Genomic DNA, 25784 nt, shown 5'->3' on the forward strand with positions numbered 1-25784 from the left:
AGTCAAGATTCAGAGAGGCAGGAAGAACCAGTAACAGGAGTCTGAAAATTGTGTGGCGAGAGGGAAGTAAAGGGAAGGGCGCTGATAGCCGGCTTCTCCCCTATTGGGTATTTGACATATGCAACTGCGCTTAACTCTCATAATAAGCCTGTGAGTTAGGGGCTCTTTCCTCCACCTCTAACTCATCACCTGGCCTTAAGAAAGTGTGGGTTTCAAGAAGGGTGGCCCACAATGACCGACGCAATAAAAAAGTTTAAAGTGAGAGCTGGCAGAACATGTGGTTTAAGAAGGTCAACAGAGACCACGGGAAGATCATGTATGTACAGTGGTGGGAAGAAGCCAGACTGCCAGCAAATTAAGTAAACCAGTGGGGTTATACTATAGCTAATATTTTTTTGCATTACTACAGTCTCTCAAATAATATTATTTTTGTTAAAATAATAGTTTCCTTTCCAGAACTTTGGCAGGCAGAGGCAGGAGGATCATTTGAGGCCAGGAGTTTGAGACCAGCCTGAGCAACATAGTGAGACAACGCCTGTGGTCCCAGCTACTTGGGAGGCTGAGGTGGGAGGATTGTTGGAGCCTGGGAGGTTAAGGCTGTAGTGAGCCATGATCATGCCACTGCACTCCAGTATAGGGTGACAGGGTGAGATGCTATCTCAAAAAAACAAAACAAAACTACATATCCTGTAAATGCTGTTTTTCTGGCCATGCCACTTTTATTTATAAACAAGTAGGCCAGGCGTGGTGGCTCATGCCTGTAATCCCAGCACTTTAGGAGGCCGAGGCAGGCGGATCACAAAGTCAGGAGATTGAGACCATCCTGGCTAACACAGTGAAACCCCATCTCTACTAAAAATACAAAAAATTAGCCGGGCGTGGTGGCAGGCGCCTGTAGTTCCAGCTACTTGGGAGGCTGAGGAAAGGGAATGGCATGAACCCAGGAGGCAGAGCTTGCAGTGAGCCGAGATCGTGCCACTGCACTCCAGCCTGGGCGACAGAGCGAGACTCTGTCTCAAAACAAAAACAAAAACAAAAACAAACAAAAAACCTATTAATTGAATTAGCAGGGCAACATTCATTCAATAACACAATGACATTATTTTGATAAGTAGCCTATCTTATTTTTAAAACAGCATTAACCAAGCAGAAGGTAAAACAACTGAGAATGAAAGTAGACATTTCATATTTATCTTTCAAAAGTGGTTCTGAAAATTTCTTCCAGTTTCTATCATTTACATTTTTCCTAATTCTCATTTATTCAACAGTAATTTAAGTGCCAATGTGCTTGTGGAACTGTGGGGGAACCAAGTAAAACAATCACTGATCCGAGTCAGAGTCTTTGTGGAGGTTTCTGGTTCTGACAGTAGCTCTGAGGACTGTTTATTTTAAAAAGAAAAAAGAAACTTCATCCAGAAAAGAAAACACTGTCTTTTATTTAATAATTCATTTTCTGATGTTTTTAATTTATAAGAATTAAGGGAAATAAATACAATATAGTTATATAAATTTTATTAAATTAAAAATATCTTAAAATTTTTAAAATTCATGTACATTTCCATTTATGCAAACCATAATTTTTTGCTGACTATATACAATAAAAAAAAATATTCAAGTGGCAGAGAAAATCATTTCTGAGAATTACTTTTATCATGTTTTCTGATAATATCCATAAGATTAGCTCCTGTAACCAGATCATTCTGTGTCTGTTTATCTTTCTGTTGTTCCTTTCTCTTCTGGTCATGAAGGTATGGGGAATTTAATAACTGAGGGGGAAGAATGGATCCTGTGGGCTTTACTCGTTTTGCAATATCCCAGAAGAGTCTTTTTGAATTATTATTGATGAAAGTAATCGCTGTTCCATTTTGACCTAATCTTCCTACTCTTCCAATCTGAAATAAAATGCAAAGAACATTTTCAAGATGTCCATGTAAAATCTTAGTGTCTTTTGAAAGAAAATGAATAATATTACTTAAAGTAGCATTACTGGCTGGGTGCAGTGGCTCACGCCTGTAACCCCAGCACTTTGGGAGCTGAGGCAGGTGGATCACCTGAGGTCAGGAGTTTGAGACCAGCCTGGCCAACGTGGCAAAATCCTGTCTCTACTAAAAACACAAAAATTAGCCAGGCATGGTGGCAAACACCTGTAAATTCTAGCTACTTGGGAGGCTGAGGCAAAAGAATCGCTTGAACCCAGGAGGCGGAGCTTGCAATGAGCTGAGATCGTGCCACTGCACTCCAGCCTGGGTGGCAGAAAAAGACTCCATCTCAAAAAAAAAAAAAAAAAAAAAAGGAGCTTTACTAAGATTAACCTTCATCCAGACAGCATTTTTTGAATTATGCATCTCAATATATCTGTGAAATCAATTTAGTAGGCCTCCACCAGCATATTTTTAATGGAACAGACCAAACAGAAAATAAGAGAGTGATCACATAAAATAAAAGTAAGTATCATTTGTGAAACTTGTGTTTTAGTTATACCTGTATGGGTGGTGTTGGGGGTAATGACATAAAGATGTTTCTTATTGTGGGTGGGTTAAGGTCAAAAAATTCTGAAAGCCCCTGCATTAAGAGCAAGAGGACTATTTACTTCCAAGGCTACTTAAGAGGCCTTGAAATGTGAGATTTATACTAAATCATCTTTGCATAAAGTTATTTGTCTTTTTTTTTTGAGGCGGAGTCTCACTCTGTTGCCCAGGCTGGAGCGCAATGGTGCAATGTCGGCTCACTGCAACCTCCGCCTCCTGGGTTCAAGCAATTCTCTGCCTCAGCTTCCCAAGTAGCTGGGATTACAGGCACCCGCCACCATATCTGGATAATTTTTTGTATTTTTAGTAGAGATGGGGTTTCACCATCTTGACCAGGCTGGTCTTAAACTCCTGACCTTGTGATCTACCTGCCTCAGCCTCCCAAAGTGCTAGGATTACAGGCCCGGCTAGTTATTTCTCATGTTGAGAGAATTAAATGGACACAAATTTATGGAGTATCAATAAGGCACAAAACCTACTTGTCTCCAAATAGATAATGAAAATATACTAAGAAACTCTTCAAAAGAGGGGGAAAATACACAATCATGGTCAATTTCTGCTCCTTAACTGAAATGTAAAACTTAAAGTCTATATTCAGAAATATTTAAATGAGTAGACAGTTTCTGCTAATACAGAGGGCATTTTTAACACTGTAAAAGAAACTTCTAAAAAAGTTAAGAAGGGAAGCCTCTAGGGAATGAGACAGAGGAGAAGAGAGGCAAGCAAATATTGTTTTTCAGTAACAGCTTTTATTTATACCTGACTTAATTAAATTACTGAATTGTTCCAATAAAAATAAAAATAAAAAAGTAGTTATTTCTCTATAAAAGTCCACAGAAAAACAAGTAGAAATAAAAAAATTCAAAAAGACAAAGAAAAGATTATACAAAGTAGCTTCAGGCTGGACATGGCGGCTCATGCCTATAATCCCAGCATTTTGAGAGGCTGAGGCAGGAGGATCACTTGAGGCCAGGGTTCAAGACCAGCCAGGGCAACATAGCAATACCCCATCTCTACAAAAAACAGAAAAATTAGCCAGGTGTGGTGGCATGTACTTGTAGTCCCAGCTACTCAGGAGGCTGAGATGGAAGAATCGCCTGAGTCCATGCATTCAAGGTTACAGTGAGCTATGACTGTGCCACTGTACTCCAGCCCGGGCAACAGAAGGAGACCCCGTCTCTTAAAAAAACAAACAAACAAAAAAAAAACTTGCAAATCATGTTTTTGGCAAGTCTTCTAGAGTATACAAAGAACTTTCACAACTCAAAAATAAAAACCCAATTTAAAAATGGACAACAAATTTGAATAGACATTTCTCCAAAGAAGTTACAAAAATGATCAATAAGTACATGACATAATGTTCAACATCATTAGTCATTAAAGAAATGCAAGTCAAAATATAAGGAGGTTTAACTTCATACCCACTAGCATAGCTATAATAAAAAAGATAAGTGTTGATGAGGATGTGGGGAAACTGGAACCTTAATAAGCCGCAGGCGAGAATGTAAAATGGTGACGCCATGTTGGAAAACAATCTGGCAGTTCCTCAAAATGCTAAACACAGAGTTACTATATGACTCAGTAATTCTATTCATAGGCATATGTCCAATAGAAATGAAAACATGTCCACACAAAAACTTGTACATGAATGTCCACAGCAGCCTGATTCATAGGAGCCAAAATGTAGAAACAACCTAAATGTCTAGCAACTAATGAATAAACAAAGGTGGTATATCTACACGATAAATTTTTTTGGCAATTTAAAAAAATGAAGTACCGATACGTTCTATGATATGGATGAACCTTAAAAACATTATGCTAAGTAAAACAATCAACCCCCGTGGAATACTTAATTCCCTGATGTGCAGGTAAATGTGGTGGTACCAAAATAAATAAAAAGAGAAGTAGTACTGTATTAAGTAAAAATAAAAGCAACTGCACTGAAGGCACTAACGGCGTTTCAGTGGGTGATTCCAGTAAATGTGGCATTCAGAGGTGATGTTAAGAACACTACAGACAGGCTTTACTTGAAGAGTTTGTAAGGGAAGCCGGAGAGGGAAGACAGGTAGCAGTCAGTGAGATAATGCAGCGCTAAGAGAAGGCTCTATTTCTGCTAGAGAGAGAAGCTATTGTTACCTTTGGCAGCAAAGAAAAGAAAGAAAACTTTCAAAAGTGAAAGACTAGAACAAATAAGGATATGAAGAGGAGATGAAGACAAGATTCCTTAAAAAAATACTTTAAAGGATCAATTTTATTTTGGCCAGACATATCAACTTAAAACGATCTTTTTAAACAAAACTTTTTGATTATAAAATCTCACTGATTATATGTTCACTGAAGAAAATAAGAGAAAGAAACAAAAACAAACCAAAAATTTACTACTTAAAATTTTTTTAATTAACATTTTTGGTTACTTCTAGTTTTTTTTTTTTTCTAAGGCACTTTAGGCATACTTTTAAAAACAAAATTTAGTTTTTATACATACTTACCTTTCAAAAACAAAATTTAGTTTATATACATATATATCTTAAAAGCAGGCCAGGCGTGGTGGCTCACGCCTGTAATTCCAGCACTTTGGGAGGCCAAGGCGGGAGGATCACTTGAGGTCAGGAGTTTGAGACCAGCCTAGCCAACATGGTGAAACCCCGTCTCTACTAAAAATACAAAAAAATTAGCCAGGTGTGGTGGTGGGCACCTGTAATCCAAGTTACTTGGGAGGCTGAGGCACAAGGATCCCTTGAACCTGGGAGGCGCAGGTTGCAGTGAGCCGAGATCATGCCACTGCACTCCAGCTTGGGTAACAGAGTGAGACTGTCTCAAAAAAAAAAAAAATCTTAAAAGCAAAAATACATACAGTTTTATACACTGCTTTTTTTTGGGGGGGGGGAGGGGGGAATGAAGTCTCTGTCACCCAGGCTAGAGTGCAGTGGCGTGATCTCGGCTCACTGCAACCCCCTCCTGCCGAGTTCAAGCGATTTTCCTGCCTCAGCCTCCTGAGTAGTTGGGACTACAAGCGCCTGCCACCATACCAGGCTAAATTTTTTTTGTATTTTTAGTAGAGATGGGTTTTTGCCATGTTGGCCAGGTTGGTCTGTGAACCCCTAACTTCATGTGATCCATCCATTTCGAGTGATCTGCCCGCGATGGCCTTCCAAAGTGCTGGGATTACAGGTGTGAGCCACTGTCCTGGCCGATACTGCTTTCTTAAACTTGGTTATCACATTGACAATGCCTTTCCCAATAAAACTCGTGAACAAAATAGTGGTAACATATAAAGCTCCTTACCTGATGGACATACTCATCCATACTTGAAGGCATATCAAAATTGACAACCAGCCTGACACTGATCAAGTCTAGGCCTCGTCCCAAGACTCCTGTGCTCACTACAACTTCATAGTCTCCTTCAAGTAATCCCTTTCCAAAAAAGCAACAAAATTTATTATTCAGAATTTATTTTGTGTGGTTTTGTGTAATTCTGATAGCTTTTCTTTTTATAATGCTTACTTCAATATTTTTATTGCAATATTTTTTCAATAAGTAAAGGTCATAGTATACCTGAAAAATGTATGCAGCTAAAATTCTCCCCAATCCCCATGGAATTTATTTTATTAATTTATTCAGGCAAACCTTTTCCAAAGGTGAATTACTGCCCTGCTCTAGTCCAAACTGACCTGATTTCAGAAATGGTAAGTTTTGAATTAGTAATCTATTTAGTATATATTCCCTAGAGAACAGGCTATTGCTCCCCAAACAAAAAGCCTGAGCAAGAGAACATTAACTTCATGGTAACCGCTTGTTTGATGGTCTTGTAGTCATTAAAAGAGGATCTGTTATAAAAACCAGCTGTAATATGGTTATCTCTTGAAAATGAGGCAGAACAGATTTATAGAAAACAGAATATAGAATATTGGGTGTCAAACCTTCAATATGTTTTTCCTTTCTATTTGCGACTTCTCTGAATGTATAGATATGCTTTTCAGCCCTGTGATTTTCTGAACGGCTTCACTCAAAAGATCTGCTCCTAGTTTGCAGTCCACAAATACTAACACTGGAGGCTTAAAGAGTTTCTTATCCTGAAAAATTAAAAACATATATCAAAAATTATTCATATAAAATAATTTACAATGGGAAGTTTTTCTGAAAGATTATCACAAGCTAGTTATCAATAGATTTATAAATATTGTTAAGAAGGAGGCTGGGCGCGGTGGCTCACACCTGTAATCTCAGCACTTTGGGAGACCGAGGTGGGCAAATCACAAGGTTAGGAGTTCGAGACCAGCCTGGCCAACACAGTGAAACCCCGTCTCTACTAAAAATACAAGAAAATTAGCCACGCATGGTGGCAGGCGCCTGTAACCCCAGCTACTCGGGAGGCTGAGGCAGGAGAATCGCTTGAACCTGAGAGGTAGAGGTTGCAGTGAGCTGAGACCATGCCATAGCACTCCAGCCTGGGCAACAGAGTGAGATTCCGTCACAAAAAAAAAAAAAAACACAAAACACAAAATGAAAAAAAAGGCATATTGTTAAAATAAGTGTTTTATTTAAAATATGCACAAACAGAAGCCAGTCTATTGCCCCTCTTAATTTTCCATCACTTAATACTCCAAGAGTAATTCAAACATTTTAAGTGCGATTAATGTAGCTCTACATGCTGCTACCAAGTCAATACCAACCATATTTAACTTAATACTTTTTTTTTTTTTTTTTGAGACAGAGTCTCGCTCTGTCACCCAGGCTGGAGTGCAGTGGCGCAATCTCAGCTCACTACAAGCCCTGCCTCCCAGATTCACACCATTCTCCTGCCTCAGCCTCCCGAGTGGCTGGGACTACAGGCCTGTGCCACCACGCCTGGCTAATTTTTTTTGTATTTTTAGTAGAGACGGGGTTTCACCATGTTAGCCAGGATGGTCTCAATCTCCTGACCTCGTGATCTGCCCGCCTCGGCCTCCTAAAGTGCTGGGATTACAGGCTTGAGCCACCGCACCCAGCCCTTCTAAAATATTTTCAAAGGAGAACATATTCCTTAGGAATAATCTTGATATTTAAATATAATTCTATAAGGAAAAGAAAACCCAACCCTGTATCTATCCAACATGTTTTCCCAAATAGCTATTTATTTGATTCTCATAGAATTCTAGGGTAGGTAAAGCAATTTATTAGTAAATACCTATATCAAATTCCCTGAAAGTTCAATCTCAAAATCATTCTCTTAAGAGCTGTGAAAAATGCAAACACAATCCATAAAACATAGTTAACTGCTTTACTACTCACATTTAAAATTTCAAATAATTTTTTCTTTTTGGCTGGGTCTTCTACCCACAAAATAATCTGACGTACATTGGCACAAGGTAGGTTCTTTTCTCCAGTGATAATTCTCACAGGATTATGCAGAAGCTGGCTTGCTAGCTGTTCTATGCTAGTTGGAATTGTGGCTGAAACCAAAATGGTCTGACAATCATTAGGAATGTTTTCCAAAATGTCAAGCACTTGTTGTTGAAAACCCATCTTTAACATGGTATCAGCCTAAAATAAAATTGTATTAAAGTTAGTCTTGTTTGACATTAAAACCCAGAACCACCCCCAAAAAAGACTGATATAATTAACAATATAAAAATTAAAAATTCCTAAATAGAAAACTATACCACAATGTCAAGAGAACTGGAAAAATATGTTTATACTAAATTATAAACTGTGCAACTAAATGTTTACAATGATATACAAAGATTGTTATTATTGGCATTATTAATAGTAGCAAAAAGCTATATACATTCTAAATATTCATCAGTAGGGGATTTGCTAAATTATGGTAGATCCATATGACACTATGCTGTCAAGAAAAATGATCAGAAAGCCCTTTATTAAATAATGAATGATTGCTAGGTTAAAAAAAAGCAAATTACAGAATATTATGTGTAACAAGATACCTATTTATGCTACAAAAATATTATATGTATATACACTCAAGAAACTGCTAAATTGCTAATACCAGGGAGAAGCCTGGAGGGCTTTAAGGGAGGCAATTCTACTTTTAGTTTTTTGCAAAGTTTGTTTTTTTTTTAAACCATGAACACAGATTACATTTATAATAAAATATTATTTTAAATAAAAGTTAATGTTAGGGGCTGCTATGGTCTGAACTGTGGTGATCCCCCCTAAATTCATATGTTGAAATCTAACCCACAATGTACGGGTAATAAGAGGGGAAGCCTTTAGGGGGTGATTAAGTTATGAAGGCTCCACCCTTATGAATGGAATTAGTGCCCTTCTAAAAGAGGCTGGATGGAGCTCTGTGTGAGGATGCAGGAAGAGGGTGCTGATGCCATCTTTGAAGTAGAGAGCAGGCCCTCACCAGACACTGAATCAAGGCTACAGCTTTGATCCCCGACTTCCCAGCTTCAAGAACTGTGGGAAAAAGTTTCTGCTGTTTATAAATTACCCAGTCTAAGGTATTTTGTTATAGCACCAGGAGTGGACTAAGACAGGGGCTTTCACTTATATTTTTCTATACTGTTGGTTTGTTACAACCATGAATTACCAAGCAAACAAAAACATTTTTTTAAAGTTAGTGCTGCCAGCCGGGCACGGTGGCTCACACCTGTAATCCCAGCACTTTGGGAGGCCAAAGTGGGTGGATCACGAGGTCAGGAGATCGAGACCATCCTGGCTAACACGGTGAAACCCTGTCTCTACTAAAAATACAAAAAATTAGCCGGGCATGGTGGCGGGTGCCTATAGTTCCAGCTACTCGGGAGGCTGAGGCAGGAGGATGGCGTGAACCCGAGAGGCGGAGCTTGCAGTGAGCCGAGATCGTGCCAGTGCACTCCAGCCTGGGCTATAGAGTGAGCCTCCGTCTCAAAAAAAAAAAAAAAAAAAAAGATTAAGGCTATCTTCAGTTGCAAATACAATCCAGGTGTCTATAATTTGGGAACAATGAGGTATTTAATTCTTTTTTTTCCCCCTTCTGGGCCCTGATTCAGGATAATTCTTTTAAACTATTACGGCATGGGGGTGTTTGTTTTGAGACAGGGTCTTGCTGTCGCACAGGCTGTAGTGTAGTGGCATGATTCTAGCTTGCTGGAACCTTAAACTCCTGGGCTCAAGAGATCCTCCAGCTTCAGCCTTCTAAGCAGCTGGGACTATAGGTACAAGCCAGGGCACCCAGCTCAGCATTGTATTTTTAAGGGCCCACTAATGTGCTGTCATCCATATTAAAATTTGAATATTCATTTTAATATTATTCAGTGGAAAAAAGAATTGTCACCCAGGTTGGAGTGCAGTGGTGCCACCTTGGCTTACTGTGCAACCTCCTGGGCTCAAGCCAACCTCCCACCTCAGTTTTCCAAATAGCTAGGACTACAGGCACATGCCACCACACCCATCTAATTTTGTATTTTTAGTAGAGATGGGGTTTTGCTATGTTGCCCAGGCTCCACCCCCACTTTCTAACATGTCTTTAATGTGCACAAATTATTCAACAGATGTTATTCAAAATGCAGAGTGGGCCATAAAAAGCATTTTTTTTTTTTTTTTTTTTGAGACAGGGTCTTGCTCTGTCGCCAGGCTGGAGTGCAGGGGTGCAATCATGGCTCACTGCAACTTCTGCCTCCTGGGCTCAAGTGATCCTCCTGCCTCAGCCTCCTGAGTAGCTGGGACCACAGGTGTGACCACAGGCATGTGCCACCGTGCCCGGCTAATTTTTGGTATTTTTTTTTGCAGAGACTGGGTTTCCCCATGTTGCCCAGGCTGGTCTTGAACTACTGGCCTCAAGCAATCCTCTTGCCTTGACCTCCCAAAGTGCTGGGATTACAGGCGTGGGCCCCTGCACCCAGACATCTCCTCTCCTGATTTTTCTCCTCCCTCACTAGCTACTCTGAGCCTCCTTTCTCTTCTCTCAATCTCTATACATTGGGGAGCCCCATGGGCTGGGTCACAGGCTTCTTCTTTCCTCATCTGTGCTCTCTCCTCAGATAAGATCAACAAATTCCACGGCTCTGAATATCATGCATGCATCAAAGACTCTCAAAATCATATCTCAGGCCACAACTGCTTCCCCGAACTCAAGTGGTAGAAACTATCTGCCGACTTAACATCTCCACTTGGTTCCAACAGGCCCCTCAAATTCAACACATTCAAAACAGAAGTTTCTATTTCCTTTCTGCCAAACCCACTCCTGTCCCAGAACACATCTCAGGAAACAGCGCCATCAGAAACTCTTATTTCATCTGTTCTCTTTACCACTTGACACTGACTCCATTAATCATCCTGTCAACCCACTAGCATACCTCAGAGCTGGTCGCTTCTCCCAACTCATATTTGCAAGACTGCTCGCAATCCCGTCACCCCCATCCCATAACCAATTCTCAAGCAACCAGATAGATTCTTCTAAAATATAAATCAGATCTTCATCCTCCTCTGCTTAAACCCTCCAATGGTTTCCCATCACACTTAGAATAAAATCCAACTTCTAACCATGACCAAAAAGTCTTACAAGTTCTCATCTTTGTCCACTTCTCTGACTTCATCTCCAAGCACTCTCCCCTCACTGCTCGTGACTCTGCCACACCAGCCTTCCTTCTGTTCCCAAATACCTCATGCTTGCTTCCTTGTTGGCACCTGGCTGAAAGTCTTCCCTCCAGATGGATCTCCGCATGACCAGCTCCTTCTCATTCATATCTTAGCATAAATGTCATCTTCTCAGAGAGCTCTCCCTGACTACCAATCCAAGGTAACCCCCCTCCCCTCGTTGCCACTGCCGTATCGCCTTGTGTACATTTATCACAGCTACACGAGACAGTTTGTGTGTCTCATCTTCCACTGTATTCTCAAAACCAACAAGTGTGAGCACATGAAAAGCCCTAATGATATATTTTGTAAATAAATGAACACTAATTCTAAGCACTGAATAAGCACCTTCCTATGTCAGGCAACTTACTAGTCAGTGTGGCCCAAACCTCTCTGAAGATAAGAATCACCTGAAGGGCCGGGCGTGGTGGCTCAAGCCTGTAATCCCAGCACTTTGGGAGGCCGAGGCGGGCGGATCACGAGGTCAGGAGATCGAGACTATCCTGGCTAACACGGTGAAATCTCATCTCTACTAAAAATACAAAAAATTAGCCAGGCATGGTGGTGGGCGCCTGTAGTCCCAGCTACTCGGGAGGCTGAGGCAGGAGAATGGCATGAACCCAGGAGGCGGAGCTTGCAGTAAGCAGAGATTGCGCCACTGCACTCCAGCCTGGCGGGGAAAAAAAAAAAGAATTGCCTGAGGGGAAAAAAAACAAAAGGATCACCTGGAATGAGTTTGTAGAGATTCCTGGCTCCAACTCACACCTACTGAATCAGAATATCCAAGTGAGAGGTCTGGTCTCGTCTGATGGTCACTAAGCAAGCCAGGTGACTCCTATTATTAAGGAAACTTGGGCAAACACTGTGCTAAGAAAAAAATTTAAAAATCTATGCACAGTTCAACAGAGCAGAGAGAAACAAAGGCCTAAAATCTGACAGGGGGAGTGAGGGATTTCAGAGTTACTAAAAGATAAAGAAGGAAGAGCAGGTAGAAAGGATGGGAGAGAATTCCAGGCCAAAGGACAGGTATGACAGAAGACACGGAGGGTCGCAAAGCAGATCATTTCAAAGGAATTATCTGAGTTTTCACCTCTGACTATTTGCATCTTCATCCTCCTCTTGAAACAATGGTTCTCTCTTCTTCAAGGATATTATTCATTCTCAGTTCCTCTCTGGTGTCTCAAGCAGCTTTTTTACTGACTCATCTTCAGACTCCACAAGCCAGGCCCTTAGCCCTAGCCCCTGCCTCTGTTTCTGCTCATTTCTAACTTGCCTCCCTTAGAGAAACCATACGTTTCATGGATTCCGATGCCTATTTTATTTTTTAAAATTTTATCGGCAACCTCCTGAGCCAGAAAAGGCTCAGAGGGACTCCCCAATGCCTATTTTAGATCTTCAGAATACTACCCCTTAGTTCATCATTTGCAGGTAATTCACCATGTCTAAAGCCAAACTCAAACATTACTACCAAGACCCAGATTTGCTCATTTGTCCTTTTTAAAATTAAAGGCACAACTATAATTGATGGAGTCACCTCTCTTGCCTTCTTCTTCCTCTCTCATCCTCAGGCATCAGAAGACTCACAAGGGACTCCTCCGCTGCAACTCTCAGATTTGGCCTGTGACTCCTACTGCCTCCACCGTGTGACCCCTTACCCCTGTCTGGATTGCTGGCTGCTCTTAGATTCTTTCATTTCTCCTGTATCACGCAGCAGGGTAACCTCTTAAACCACTACTCAATAATTTAGAAAGCCTCACTGACTCCCACATCAAATCCAAATTCCTCTGCCTTCCTGTGCAGGCCCTCTATAATTTGGCCCCACCCTAACAACCCAATTTTACCTCCTATTATTTCTCAGGAAGAATTCTTCAAGCTGGTGGTCTCTTCTCTGCCCCCTGCACACATGCACTTGGACTTTCTGACTCTGCTTATGTTGGTCCCTTCACTTTGAAGAACTGATACATCCTCTAGTTTTCTCAATCTTTTTCCATCTTTTGAAGCCCAGGTCAAATCCCATTACCTCTAAGAAGCCATTTTTTGCAGTGCTAATATATTTACTCTCTCATTTCTCCTTCTGACCTTATTTCTTCTGAAAAATTGGCATCATATACAGTCCAATTTTTTTTTTTTTTGAGACGGAGTTTCACTCTTGTTGCCCAGGCTGGAGTGCAATGGCACGATCTTGGCTCACCGCAACCTCCACCTCCCGGGTTCAAGCGATTCTCTTGCCTCAGCCTCCTGAGTAGCTGGGATTACAGGCACGCGCCACCACGCCCAGCTAATTTTGTATTTTTAGTAAAGATGGGGTTTCTCCATGTTGGTCAGGCTGGTCTTGCACTCCTGACCTCAGGTGATCCGCCCACCTCGGCCTCCCAAAGTACTGGGATTACAGGCGTGAGCCAACGTGCCTGGCCATACAGTTCAATTTTTTCACTAGTATCTTCTATCAGCCATTGGCAAACTACAGCTCTGGGGACAAATTTAGACCTTTACCTGTTTTTGTAAATAATGTTTTATGGGAACCCCGTCACACCCATTCATCTTCATACCATCTACATTGGCCCCCAAAGCCTAAGATATTTACCATCTGGTCCTTTACAGAAAGTGTTTGCCAACCCCTGGCCTACATCATGTTAGTACTTTTGTATCTCTGTACATATGATAACGTTCTCGCCTTTACTTCAGTATATGTATCTTTTCTCTCTAACAAGATTTCAGCACCTTGTAGGCTTGAATGCTATTCAGAACTTCTCTGTGATGCCATCCAAACTTATCCAGAATTGGTCAATTTGTACCTAAATAATACTTCTGTACTGACTGCAGTTTCAGTATATAACTGATTATGTTTACCAGCTCATTTCCCCTCTAGATCACCCAGAAACCATATTCCTTAAATGCCAAGGAGCTGGGACACAGGCTGCACATACAGGCACTTGATAAATGTTTGCTGAATGAATACTTCCCTTGTACCATAATGGTGAGCACAGCACGAAAGTGTCCCATGAAGCCTTGTTAGTGGAAGAAAATGAAAATGCTGTAAAGAGAAGTGAGGATGAGGCCAAGTGCAGTGGCTCACGCCTGTAATCCCAACACTTTGGGAGGCCAAGGCAGGAGGATCACTTGAGCCCAGGAATTCAAGACCAGCCTGGGCAACATAGCAAGACCCCGTCTCTAAACAAATTTTAAAAACAAAGAGAGAAATGAGGATGAATGGAAACTAACCTTAAAATCCATATTAAGAATTACTTCTCAGGCCGGGTGCGGTGGCTCACACCTGTAATCCTACCACTTTGGGAGGCTAAGGTGAGCAGATCACTTGAGGCCAGGAATTTGAGACCAGCCTGGCCAACATGGTAAAACTCTGTCTCAACTAAAAATACAAAAATTAGCCAGGCTTGGTGGCACATGCCTGTAATCCCAGCTACTTGGGAGGCTGAGGCACAAAAATCACTTTGAGCCCAGATGGTAGAGGTGGCAGTGAGCCAAGATCGTGCCATTGTACTCCAGTCTGGGTGACAGAGGGAAACTGTCTACAAAAAAAAAAAAAAAAAAAAAAAATTACTTCTCTAGCTCATAAGATGGGGAGAATTTAAGAACATGGGGCTTATCAACAAAGGGAAGCCCAGTCATGTTCAGGGTGACAGTATTGTCTAATGATAATCAGATTTAGCAATGTCAGTTCTACCAAATGGCCACGCCAGAAAAATGCTGACTTTGCAGTAGCAGGACTCTTCAGTCTATAAGACATTTTTGGGCGGGTGCAGTGGCTCACACCTGTAATCCCAGCACCTTGGGAGGCCGAGATGGGCAGATCACAAGGTCAGGAGATTGAGACCATCCTGGCTAACACAGTGAAACCCCGTCTCTACTAAAAATACAAAAAATTAGCTGGGTATGGAGGCGGGCGCCTGTAGTCCCAGCTACTCGGGAGGCTGAGGCAGGAGAATGGCACAAACCTGGGAGGTGGAGCTTGCAGTGAGCCGAGATCACGCCACTGCACTCCAGCCTGGATGACAGAGCAAGACTCTGTCTCAAAAAAAAAAAAAAAAAAATTAGCTGGGCATGGTGGCAGGTGCCTGTAATCCCAGCTACTCAGGAGGCTGAGGCAGGAGAACCACTTGAACGCAGGAGGTGGAGGTTGCAGTGAGCTGAGATCACACCATTGCACTCCAGCCTAGGCAACAGGAGCTAAACACTGTCTCAAGAAAAAAAAAAGCCATTTTCACCATCATTCTTCATCCTTGCCATAGCTCTAGAAGATTAACCAGCTTGCCTAAGCTCTCATGGGAGGTGGAGTAAATGTTCAAATCTTGGTCTTGCGGGTACTGGCTATGTGTTCTATCCTACTGCTACTTACTGGGGCCCATGGAAGGCAGGCTAAGACACTATCCTGGTCAGCACCCAGCACCACGCATTTGTGATCACTGCTGGGTAACGCCAGGCCTCTGCTCTGTCACTGCTGGTGAGACATGTGGGAAGATGCATGTGCCCCGCAGGCAGAAATGGCACATGCCCAGGGTGGGCTGGCACATGGTCCTATGTTCCCATGGCAGAATATCACTGAGAAACAACACTTTTACTTCATCTTATTAAGTAGGCCAAAAGTATAAAAATGCCTCTATAGTATATGTAACATAGAAAATCAGGATCACAGATGCCTATGTCCACATAGAAAAAAAAAAAATTTAAAGGCCATCCTCTGGGCATGGTGGTTCATGCCTATAATCCCAGTACTTTGGGAGGCCAAGGCAGGAGGATCCCTTGAGCCCAGGAGTTCAAGACTAATCAGCCTGGGCAATATAGTGAGACCTATCTCTACAAAAACCAAATTAGCCAGGCATGGTGATGTGTGTGCCTGTAGTCCCAGCTACTCAGGAGGCTGAGGTGGGTGGATCACTTGAGTGTGGGAGGTTGAGGCTGCAGTGAGCTGTGTTTCCGTCACTGCACTCCAGCCTGGGTGACCTAAGCAACAGAGCAAGACCCTGTCTCATTACTTGACACTGACTATTTTTGTAAACAAATAATAGTAAGCATCAAATGCTTAAAAAAAAACAACTTACCATTGAGAATAGAGTACATATTGAATTTGTGTTTTCTGTCAATTAGGAAAAGACAGCTCTGGTTTAATTTTAGTGTAGTACACATTATGTTAGCTTCAGTGCTACACAGGAACCTGCTGCAATGCTTTAAAAGTCCCTGAGGTTTTTTTTGAGAGAGAGAAAAGGTACTGAACATACAATGAAATTATATAACTATACTTTCCATAAATTGTGTAAAATCATGTAACTGTTTTTTAAATACCACTACTTACTTCATCTACTACCACAATCTTTACACCACAGAGTTCTACAGAGCTCTGCTTTATTATATCCAGAAGTCGCCCAGGGGTTGCTATGATAACCTAAATAAAAGAGAAAAAGCAAATTAAAAAAATCAGTAATAGCTATTTTCATTCATTCATTCCATATTGATTGAGCAACTAATATGTACCAGACACTGTGTTAAGCACCCAGAATTCAGTGATGAATAAGCCAGACATAGTCTCTGCTCTCATGAAACTTGTAATACAAAGGAAGAAACAGATAAAACCAGAAAGTACTCATGAGATAAATACACTAAGCCATAACTGGAGGGACCTATCCAGTCCTACCCAACACACAGGTCAAACCTAAAGGATGAGTGGGCATGAGCAAGGTGAGGAGTGATTAAGGAGAAAAGTATCTGTGACATTCCTGAGGCTGGGAGGCCAGTGAAGTTTCTAAATGGTAAGGAATGGGGAGAATGGGGCAGGCTGAGGCAGGCACCAAGGCACCAGGAAGGACCTTGTAGGCAGTTTGATTGCTATGGTTCTATAAACAAGTGAAAATTCCGTAACATCTTTGGGCTTTTTATTTCATTTTTAAATTAAGAGGTTGGGCAAAGTGATTTCTAAGGTTGCTTAAGGCTCTTAATAATTTTATAACATGTTAGTGGCTAACAATGGGGGCTTTTTGTTGTTGTTGTTGATATAATCTCGCTCTGTCACCCAGCAGGGAGTGCGTGGCTCACTGTAGCCTCAACTTCCCCAGCTCCAGGGGTCTTCCTGCCTCAGCCTCCCATGTAACTAGGATTACAGGCATGCCACCACACCTGGCTAATTTTTTGTTTTTTTGCAGAGACAAGGTCTCTATGCTACCCAGGCTGGTCTCAAACTCCTGGGCTCAAGTAATCCTCCCGCCTTGGCCTCCCAAAGTGCTGGGATTACAAGTGTAAGCTACTGCATTCAGCTTATTTTTACCTTTTTTTAAACAAGAAGGAAAAATGCTTTAATACCAATCACATCTCCCCTGTGCTTCTAAGCTACTGTTGGCCAGTATTTAACTTCTATTGTATTTTGAAACCTACAGGTTGTTCATTATGATTACTGTTTCATTCAATGTTTCCTGAGATTTACCCACATGCTTACTATTTTCCTTGGCCACCATTATTTCTTCCATCCCACACCCTCCTTTCTGGCACAATCTTCTTTATCTGTAGACTACCTTAGTTTTAAAGTTCTCTTACATGGTGTACTGGTATTAACTTTCTCAGTTTTGTTTATCTGAAAAGCTTTTTATGTTGTCCTTGCTCTTGGAGGGCAACTTTGCTGAACAGAGGTTTTGGTTATGTTTTCTCAGAGGGCACCTGGGAGAGAGCTCAGGCTGGTGAGAGGGGTGGGAGTGACAGGTGGGCAAGCAGGAGCCTCCACAGAAAGGCGGCCCTGCATGGGGTGCTGCAGCCTGAGGGGCTGAGGAGAGTGCAGGGTGGAGTCTGGTGAGGAGGGCATCGCTGTGGGCAGGGCGGTGCTGATGGCGGGAGGTAGGCTACATAGAGGAGGATTGGTCAAATAAATAAACAAATACATAAATGAAAATGAGTGGCAGGTTTCTGTCAGTTACAAACATGAATGAATCCTGTTGCATTGAATTGGAATTGGAAGTATCAACATGAACTCATAGTCTCATGGTTTCTAATAAATATAGATACAGAAAAACACACACTTAGATATACAGCTGACCCTTGAACAACATGGATTTCAACTGTGTGAGTCCACTGAAACATACCAATTTCAACCAAACACGGACCAACAATACTCGAGTTCAGCAGGGCCAACTGCAAGATTCAAGTCTGCAAAGATTTTGGTACATACGCAGGGGATCCTGGAACCAATCCCTGGCAGACGCCCAGCGATGACTGTATTCCCTAGCTCTATCCACTGGGAAGTCCTAGAAGCAGTGATAGTCCAATAGCAATCAACGCACATAGCCCAGATCTTTCTTTTTAAATACTATCCTCTAGTAAAATAAACCAGGGCTCCTTGGAGAAGGCATGATTCCAGGGCTGGGGCAGGGAAAGAAAAATGTAAGTATGGAACATCTTCTTTAGATAGAAGGTAAGGAAGACTCAAAGAATGATGGAGATCTGAACAAAGGACATAGAAACCAACTTGAAGGTGCTTCCACTGGCCAGATAGAGATCAACTGGAGTATCAAAACAAATAATGATAATAGATTGTAAACCTTTGAATAACAGGAAGCTGTGAGTCCATACAGATATAAATAAATATATAAATAAATTCAAAGTGTGGTGAAGAATGAGAAATTTACATTTCAAAGTACACCTCAAAGTACTCTCCCCAAAATATTTACTAAACTCAAAGGGGAAAAAAATAAACTTGACAATTACTTTACAGATCCTATCACTAGGAAAAGGACATACTGATACTCTGTGCAACCTAAAAGGATGCAATGAAAAAAACAAAGCATCTCTTCTGTGATATTCCTGTCAAAGACATGTAACTTGAATCTAATCAAATGAGGGATGTTCTTCAAAGTAAGTGGCTTGTAAACCTTAAAAGGGCCAAGATTATGAGGAAAAAAGGAAAGATGGAAGAGCTGTTTCAAATTGAAGGAGATGACAAAGACACAACAACTAAATGCAACATGTGATTCTGAACTGGATTCTTGTGCTATAAAAAGTGATGGAACAATTATAAAAATGTGAATGGGGACTGAGGAGTAGATGATACCAATATTAATTCCTGATGTAATCTACTCTATCAACGTGATACTGTTTGGATCTGTGTCCCCACCCAAATTGCATGTCGAACTGTAATCCCCAATGTTGGAGGTGGGATCTGGAGGGAGGTGATTGGATCATGGGGGCTATTTCTCATGGTTTAACACCCTTCCCCTTGGTGCTGTCATCATGATAGTTCTTGTGAGATCTAGTTGTTTAAAAGTGTGTAGCACCTCCCCACTCTCTTTCTTCCTCCTGCTCTGGCCACGTGAAGCTCCTCGCACCCCCTCTGCCTTCTGCCATGATTGGAAGCTTCCTGAGGCCTCCTTAGAGGCAGAAGCCACTATGCTTCCTGTACAGCCTGCAGAACCATGAGCCAATTAAAGTTCTTTTCTTTATAAATTAGTCTCAGGTATTTCTTTATAGCAGTGCAAGCATGGACTAATACACAATGTTAATTTCCTGATTCCATAATTGTATTACAGTTATGTAAGATAATGTCCTTGTTTGTAGCAATCATACTGTAAAGTATATGGGGGTGATAGGGCATCAAGTCAGCAAGTTACTTCCAGAAGGTTTGGGAGGAAAAAAAAGTTCCATTTACTGTACTTACCACCTTTCTTTAAGTTTGAGATTGTTTTTTTAAAAAATGTGTGCTTTGGGAGGCCGAGGCAGGTGGATCACCTGAGCTCAGGAGTTTGAGACCAGCCTGGCCAACATGGTGAAATCCCATCTCTACTAAAAATACAAAAACTTAGCTGGGCATGGTGGTGGGCGCCTGTAGTCCCAGCTACTCTGGAGGCTGAGGCAGAAGAATCGCTTGAACCTGGGAGACGGAGGTTGCAGTGAGCAGAGGTTGCACCACTGCACTCCAGCCTGGGCAACTAGAGACTAACACCAATACATTAACATATATTTTTTTAAGAATTGGAATGCAAGCTTAGTTTAAAAGCTGTTAGAAGTTTGCAGCTACTTATGCGTTTGAATTATAATGTTATCCATTCGTTGCAATGAAAATAAATTTAAGGCAGAGGTTGATATGAGACTGCAGTTAAACTCCATTAACCCAACTTCAAATTTGATGCCCATCAAAAGTACTTGTATTGTTTACTTTATAAATATATACTGCTGAACTTATAATTTGGCATTAATATCACCTTTGTCTGTTTTATATACTGGAGGTCCACCTTAAAAAATCACTGATCCAATATCCCATTAATTATCAACCTGTAATTTCTTAAAACAACATTTTACAGGCTTTAAATCTGTCAGATAAATCTGATTTGACCTTCAAAAGATTCCAACATGAAAGGCTGATATTCACCCATAGAAGCTGTCGAATACTGCAGGAGCTTCATCCCAGCTGGTACTGCTGCCCCAGCCCCCTGAGTGCCCTTCCCCAACTCCCTGCCAACCCAGCTTGTCCCCTGGGTCGCCAGGGCCGCCCTACCACCCTAGTTAACTAAACAGTTAATGCCCAGAACACCAAGGGGCCCCGAGGACCCAGCTCCTGCACCAAAGCTGCAGTCTATTTTGATTGGTCAGCATCTGTGCCAAACCTTCCATTAAACATTTTTATTTTAAAGGCAGGTATCTTCAGCCACCCATTCAAACTCAAGAAAACTGAAGCCCACAGAAGTGAAGTAACTTATCTATGGCCATACAGCTACCAAGTTTCAAAGCTAGAATCAGACCACATTGCTTTTACATACTTTTACATACCAGAAAATACAGACTACGCATAACAGCATGGCTAAGGAAGGAGGAAAGACAGGTAAATTAAGGGTCAATTTTGGCAACTATTATTTATTAGCTATAGATCCTTAGATAAACTCCACCTTTCTGAGATTCAACTTCTCAACTATAAAAGATGGACTAAGGATTATGCCAACCCACCTTCAGAAGTAAATGTGATGCTTAAATGAGATAATGCATGTCAGAACATTCAACAGCCTTTGGCATATAATGGGCACTCAATAAATTGTGCTTCTTTCCCTTCCTATATAAAACAAACTAAAAAAAAAAAAAAAACCTAAGGCTTACTTGGTAAGAATTTAAAGGCTCTCTAAAATCATACTTTTAAAAATTCTTCAAGGGGAAAAAAAACACTAGTTCCTGTATTGCTTACAAAACTTTTCAAAGACATTGTATCAAATCAGTGCTTACCTTAACATGTTGTTGCAGACGATAAAGCTGTGGGGGTAAGGGTAAGCCCCCTACAAGAAGCACAGTTTTCATGCGTGGCAGGCCACTCATCAATTCTTTAGCTTGTCTCTCTATCTGAATGGCTAACTCTCTGGTTGGTGTAAGAATGAGCGCAGATGGAGTTTTGCTCTGCAAAGATGTGAAAAACAAGTTTAAAAACACCAGCAATTAATTCCTGCTGATATGAACTAAATCTTCACAAGGATTCCAGGAACATGGCCCCTTTAAAGTGTTCCCAACTGGGTATGAGTCCTCCTGCCTTCTGCTTACTGCAGACTTTTTTCCTCCAAAACCATCATAAATTAAACCCATTTCTTACATAACACAGAATACAATGAAAGATCAAAATGGGGCTGGGGAGAGGTGTCCACAGTAACCAAGGTGAGAAAACTGAAGGTTTGCTCCTAGTTTATTGGACCCTGTAATCTACAGTCATCCTCCCCTGAAGAGAGAACCCAATAGTCACCATGCAGATCTGGTCAAAGCTGGCATGCTACCCTTGGTCTTTCCCTCTTAGCTCTCTTGTGGATTCACTTCTTTCTTTGTCCATATAACTTACATATATACCCATATCCTATTTCGGGCTTTATGGCTCTATTTTGGTCTTCCAGCATGCGTGACCTATATTTTAAACAATCTAGCACTTTTTTTTTCTCACACTATCTTCTACTACTCTTTAGTTTTCCAATTTTTTCTCCTTTATCTTTCCTCTCTTTGCCCACTTTTTTTTTTTTGAAAACGGAATTTCACTCTTATTGCCCAGGCTGGAGTGCAATGGCACAATCTCGGCTCACCGCAACCTCCGCCTCCTGGGTTCAAGTGATTCTCCTGCCTCAGCCTCCCGAGTAGCTGGGATTACAGGCATGCGCCATCATGCCCGGCTAATTTTGTATTTTTAGTAGAGATGGGGTTTCTCCGTGTTGACCAGGCCGGTCTTGAACTCTAGATCTCAGGTGATCTGCCCACCTCGCCCTCCCAAAGTGCTGGGATTACAGGCGTGAGCCACTGTGCCCCGCCTTCCCCACATTTTTTACTCACTTCCCTTCCTGCCATACTTCATACTTCACAAGTTCATCAGTACTTGGGAAATAGTAATTACTCAAAATGTTTGTTAAACTATTTGTGAAAGTGCTCTACACACTATAAACTAACAAGTAAGGTATGGTAGTGATTATTTTAAGATGAACCATAGATCACATTTAAGAGTATATTTTGAGGCTAGGTGCGGTGGCTCATGCCTGCAATCCCAGCACTGTGTGAAGCTGAGGCGGTTGGATTACCTAAGGTCAGGAGTTCGAGACCAGCCTGACCAATAAGGAGAAACACTGTCTCTACTAAAAATACAAAATTAGCGAGGCATGGTGGCGTATGCCTATAATCCCAGCTTCTCAGGAGGCTGAGGCAGGAGAATCACTTGAACCTGAACCTGGGAGACGGATCACTTGAACCTGGGAGGCAGAGGTTGCAGTGAGCCGAGATTGTGCCATTGCACTCCAGCCTGGGCGACAAGAGTGAAACTCGGTCCCAAAAAAAGAAAAAGAAAAAGAAAAAAAAAGTATATTTTGAAACTCTATGTGTTCCAACTTCAGTATAAATCAGTTTCTTCAAAACACAAAATCCAAGGAGACAAAACTGACACACAAACTGTAGCTCGTCTGGTCAGCTGGATCTTTTCCCCCTCAAATCCAAAGCTCATTCTGTTAATAGAAAAACTGTTAAAAAGAAAATGTTTTGTAAGGAAGCAAGTTTTTAGATCGTCAATAAAGAGATCTCTGGTTCAATATAATACAAGAAAAATTCCCTGAAATTATGTTTTCATACAAACTACTATCAGAAGCAAAATCACTACAGGCACTAGTGACTAAAATTCCAAATATTTAGTTTTAGTCTGCAATTTTAATATAGTTAAAAATGAAACTTGGTAAATACCTCACTTGTTTCCAAGAATAATACATGTGAACTCTATTATTAACACTTACCTCGAATAAAGCTCGCATGATAACAGGAAGAAGAAAAGCAGCTGTTTTTCCTGAGCCAGTATCTGCACTGGCCAGAATGTCTCTTCCCAGAAGTCCCACAGGAATCATCTGCATTTGAATGGGAGTTGGCACCTCATAGCCTGATTTCTTCAAGTTGTGATTTAAGACCTCAGGGAGACTACAATGTTCAAAGTCAATAATGGGCCTGGTGACTTCTTGCCCTTGAACTAAAATTCCCAGCTGCTGTTTAAGATTTTCAATCTGGTCTTCCTGAAGGTTCAAAATAAAGGGGTGCTCTTTGTAGACATAGGAAGCATTCAGTGGAGACTCTGGCTCAGAATCAGCCTTCTGTGGATTGCTGAGTTTTGATTTCTCTTCCTTTTCCTTAACTTGTAGAAGATGTTTCGCTTTACACTCCAAACTACACACATCTTCATCTGTCTTATCACAGATATACTCTCCATAACGACCACAGACAACACAGATGGGTTCCCCTGGTTCTGCCCAGCGCTGTGTTTTGGAAAATGACTTAACGGGCTCTTCAGAAGGATGGCTGTCCTTCGCACCCTGCTCGGGACTTACTGAATGAACCTCTGCCAACTGGCCACCTGGGCTGGGGAAAGGGCATGATTCGCTGATGTGCCTGTCTATTGTGGCTGCTTCTGTAGCTACAGCATCAACGGGAACATCTCTGCTTTTGTCCAACTGAAGGTCTTCTGGGTCTGGTTTAATTATCTTAGCCACACAACTTTTGCCATCATCATTAGCATTCCTCTTGATTTTTAGAGATCTTGGAACAAACATCCTTCAATATTCTGTTAAGGAAATTATATAATGAGATTTATTGTACCATTAATAAAGTTCACATATAAAGTACCATATGATTAAGGACAAGGTGCGGTGGCTCACCCCTGTAATCCCAGCACTTTGGGAGGCCGAGGCAGGCAGATCACTTGAGGTCAGGAGTTTGAGACCAGCCTGGCCAACATGCTGAAACCCCATCTCTCCAAAAAATACAAAAATTAACTGGGCATGGTGGCATGTGCCTGTAATCCCACCTATTCGGGAGGCTGAGGCAGGAGAATCACTTGATCCCGGGGGGCAGAGATTGCAGTGAGCCGAGATCGTGCCACTGCCCTCCAGCCTGGGTGACAGTGAGATTCTGTCTCAAAAAAATTTTTAAAAAGGCCAGGCGTGGTGGCTCACACCTGTAATCCCAGCACTTTGGGAGGCCGAGGCGGGCAGATCACGAGGTCAGGAGTTTGAGACCAGCCTGGCCAATATGGTGAAACCCCCGTCTCTACTAATACAAAAATTAGCTGGGCATGGTGGCGCACACCTGTATTCCCAGCTACTCGGGAGGCTGAGGGAGAAGAATCTCTTGAACCCAGGAGGCGGAGGTTGCGGTGAGCCTAAGACCTCACCATTGCACTCCAACCTGGGCAACACAGTGAGTGTCCTGGGGTTATGCCTGAAAGGAATAGTGAGGACATCATGACACTCTTTATATCAAGCTTTTCTTCCATTCGCCAGCTTCCACTGATGAAGAGATGGAGTCCTCTTCCTCACACATAGCAGTGTTGTAACACTGCACACTGCTCAACATAGCCTTGTACACATGGTCTATTTCCGTTTACTGATTATTTGCACTTTGAAGTATCAGATATTATAGAAATTCTGGGGTAAATCCTTCTATTATAGCATCAAAAAAGAAAACAGGAGAAATACTTCACAATTAGAATCTTTAAAATCAAAGCCACAAATCATAGAGAAAATGCTATTTTCATAAGTAACACTTAGTGTTTATTATATGCCAAGCACAGTGCTTCACCTAATCTTCACAACCATGTAAAGCAGTTAGCATTGCCTAATATATATATATACAGATATTTTTTCATTATGCTATACTAGGTATATTACATAGAGTAATATACACAAGACTAATATACATAGTATAGCATAATGAAAAAATAATATAGTAATATACATAACATAGCATAATGAAAAAACGTGTGTGTGTGTATAAAACACATTATATACACTCAGAAGAAACTGAGCCACTTAGAAATTAAGTGGTTTGGGCTGGGCGCAGTGGCTCACGCCTGTAATCCTAGCACTTTGGGAGGCCGAGGCGGGCGGATCACGAGGTCAGGAGATCAAGACCATCCTGGCTAACACGGTGAAACCCCGTCTCTATTAAAACAAAACAAAACAAAAAAAATTAGCCGGGCGTTGGCGGCAGGCGCCTGTAGTCCCAGCTACTCGGGAGGCTGAGGCAGGAGAATGGCGTGAACCCGGGAAGCGGAGCTTGCAGTGAGCCCAGATCGCGCCACTGCACTCCAGCCTGGGCAACAGAGCAAGACTCCGTCTCAAAAAAAAAAAAAAAGAAAAGAAATTAAGTGGTTTGTCCAAGCTCACACAATTCTTAAGTGTTACAACCCTGGCACTGTGGATCCAGAGCACAAGCTCTCAA

General features: G+C 41.7%; 1 protein-coding gene across 20 annotated transcripts in view, besides 1 other annotated feature; it reads right to left on the reverse strand.

Moving 5' to 3' along the window:
* The window catches only part of DDX59 (DEAD-box helicase 59), a 29103-nt gene that overhangs the window by 1821 nt on the left and 1498 nt on the right, over positions 1-25784 (reverse strand). For 3 of the 20 annotated variants that reach the window (NM_001349802.3, NM_001320181.2, XM_047431461.1), the window contains exons 2-7: positions 23312-24126; positions 21294-21461; positions 16402-16491; positions 7800-8051; positions 6449-6601; positions 5814-5942 (exon numbers count right to left, since the gene is read on the reverse strand). In NM_001349802.3, the coding sequence (NP_001336731.1) occupies positions 5814-5942; positions 6449-6601; positions 7800-8051; positions 16402-16491; positions 21294-21461; positions 23312-24115 (1596 nt within the window). In that variant the 5' untranslated portion in view covers positions 24116-24126. 20 annotated transcript variants of the gene reach the window in all.
* Positions 10732-10791: an enhancer, noted in NCBI's record as "active region_2301". NCBI's record gives its function as "activates an Ori minimal core promoter by ATAC-STARR-seq in GM12878 lymphoblastoid cells {active_cell/tissue: GM12878}" and the evidence as "EXISTENCE:reporter gene assay evidence [ECO:0000049][PMID:35858748]".

The sequence above is a fragment of the Homo sapiens genome, chromosome 1 (assembly GCF_000001405.40).
Source record: "Homo sapiens chromosome 1, GRCh38.p14 Primary Assembly".
Taxonomy (NCBI): Eukaryota; Metazoa; Chordata; class Mammalia; order Primates; family Hominidae; genus Homo; species Homo sapiens.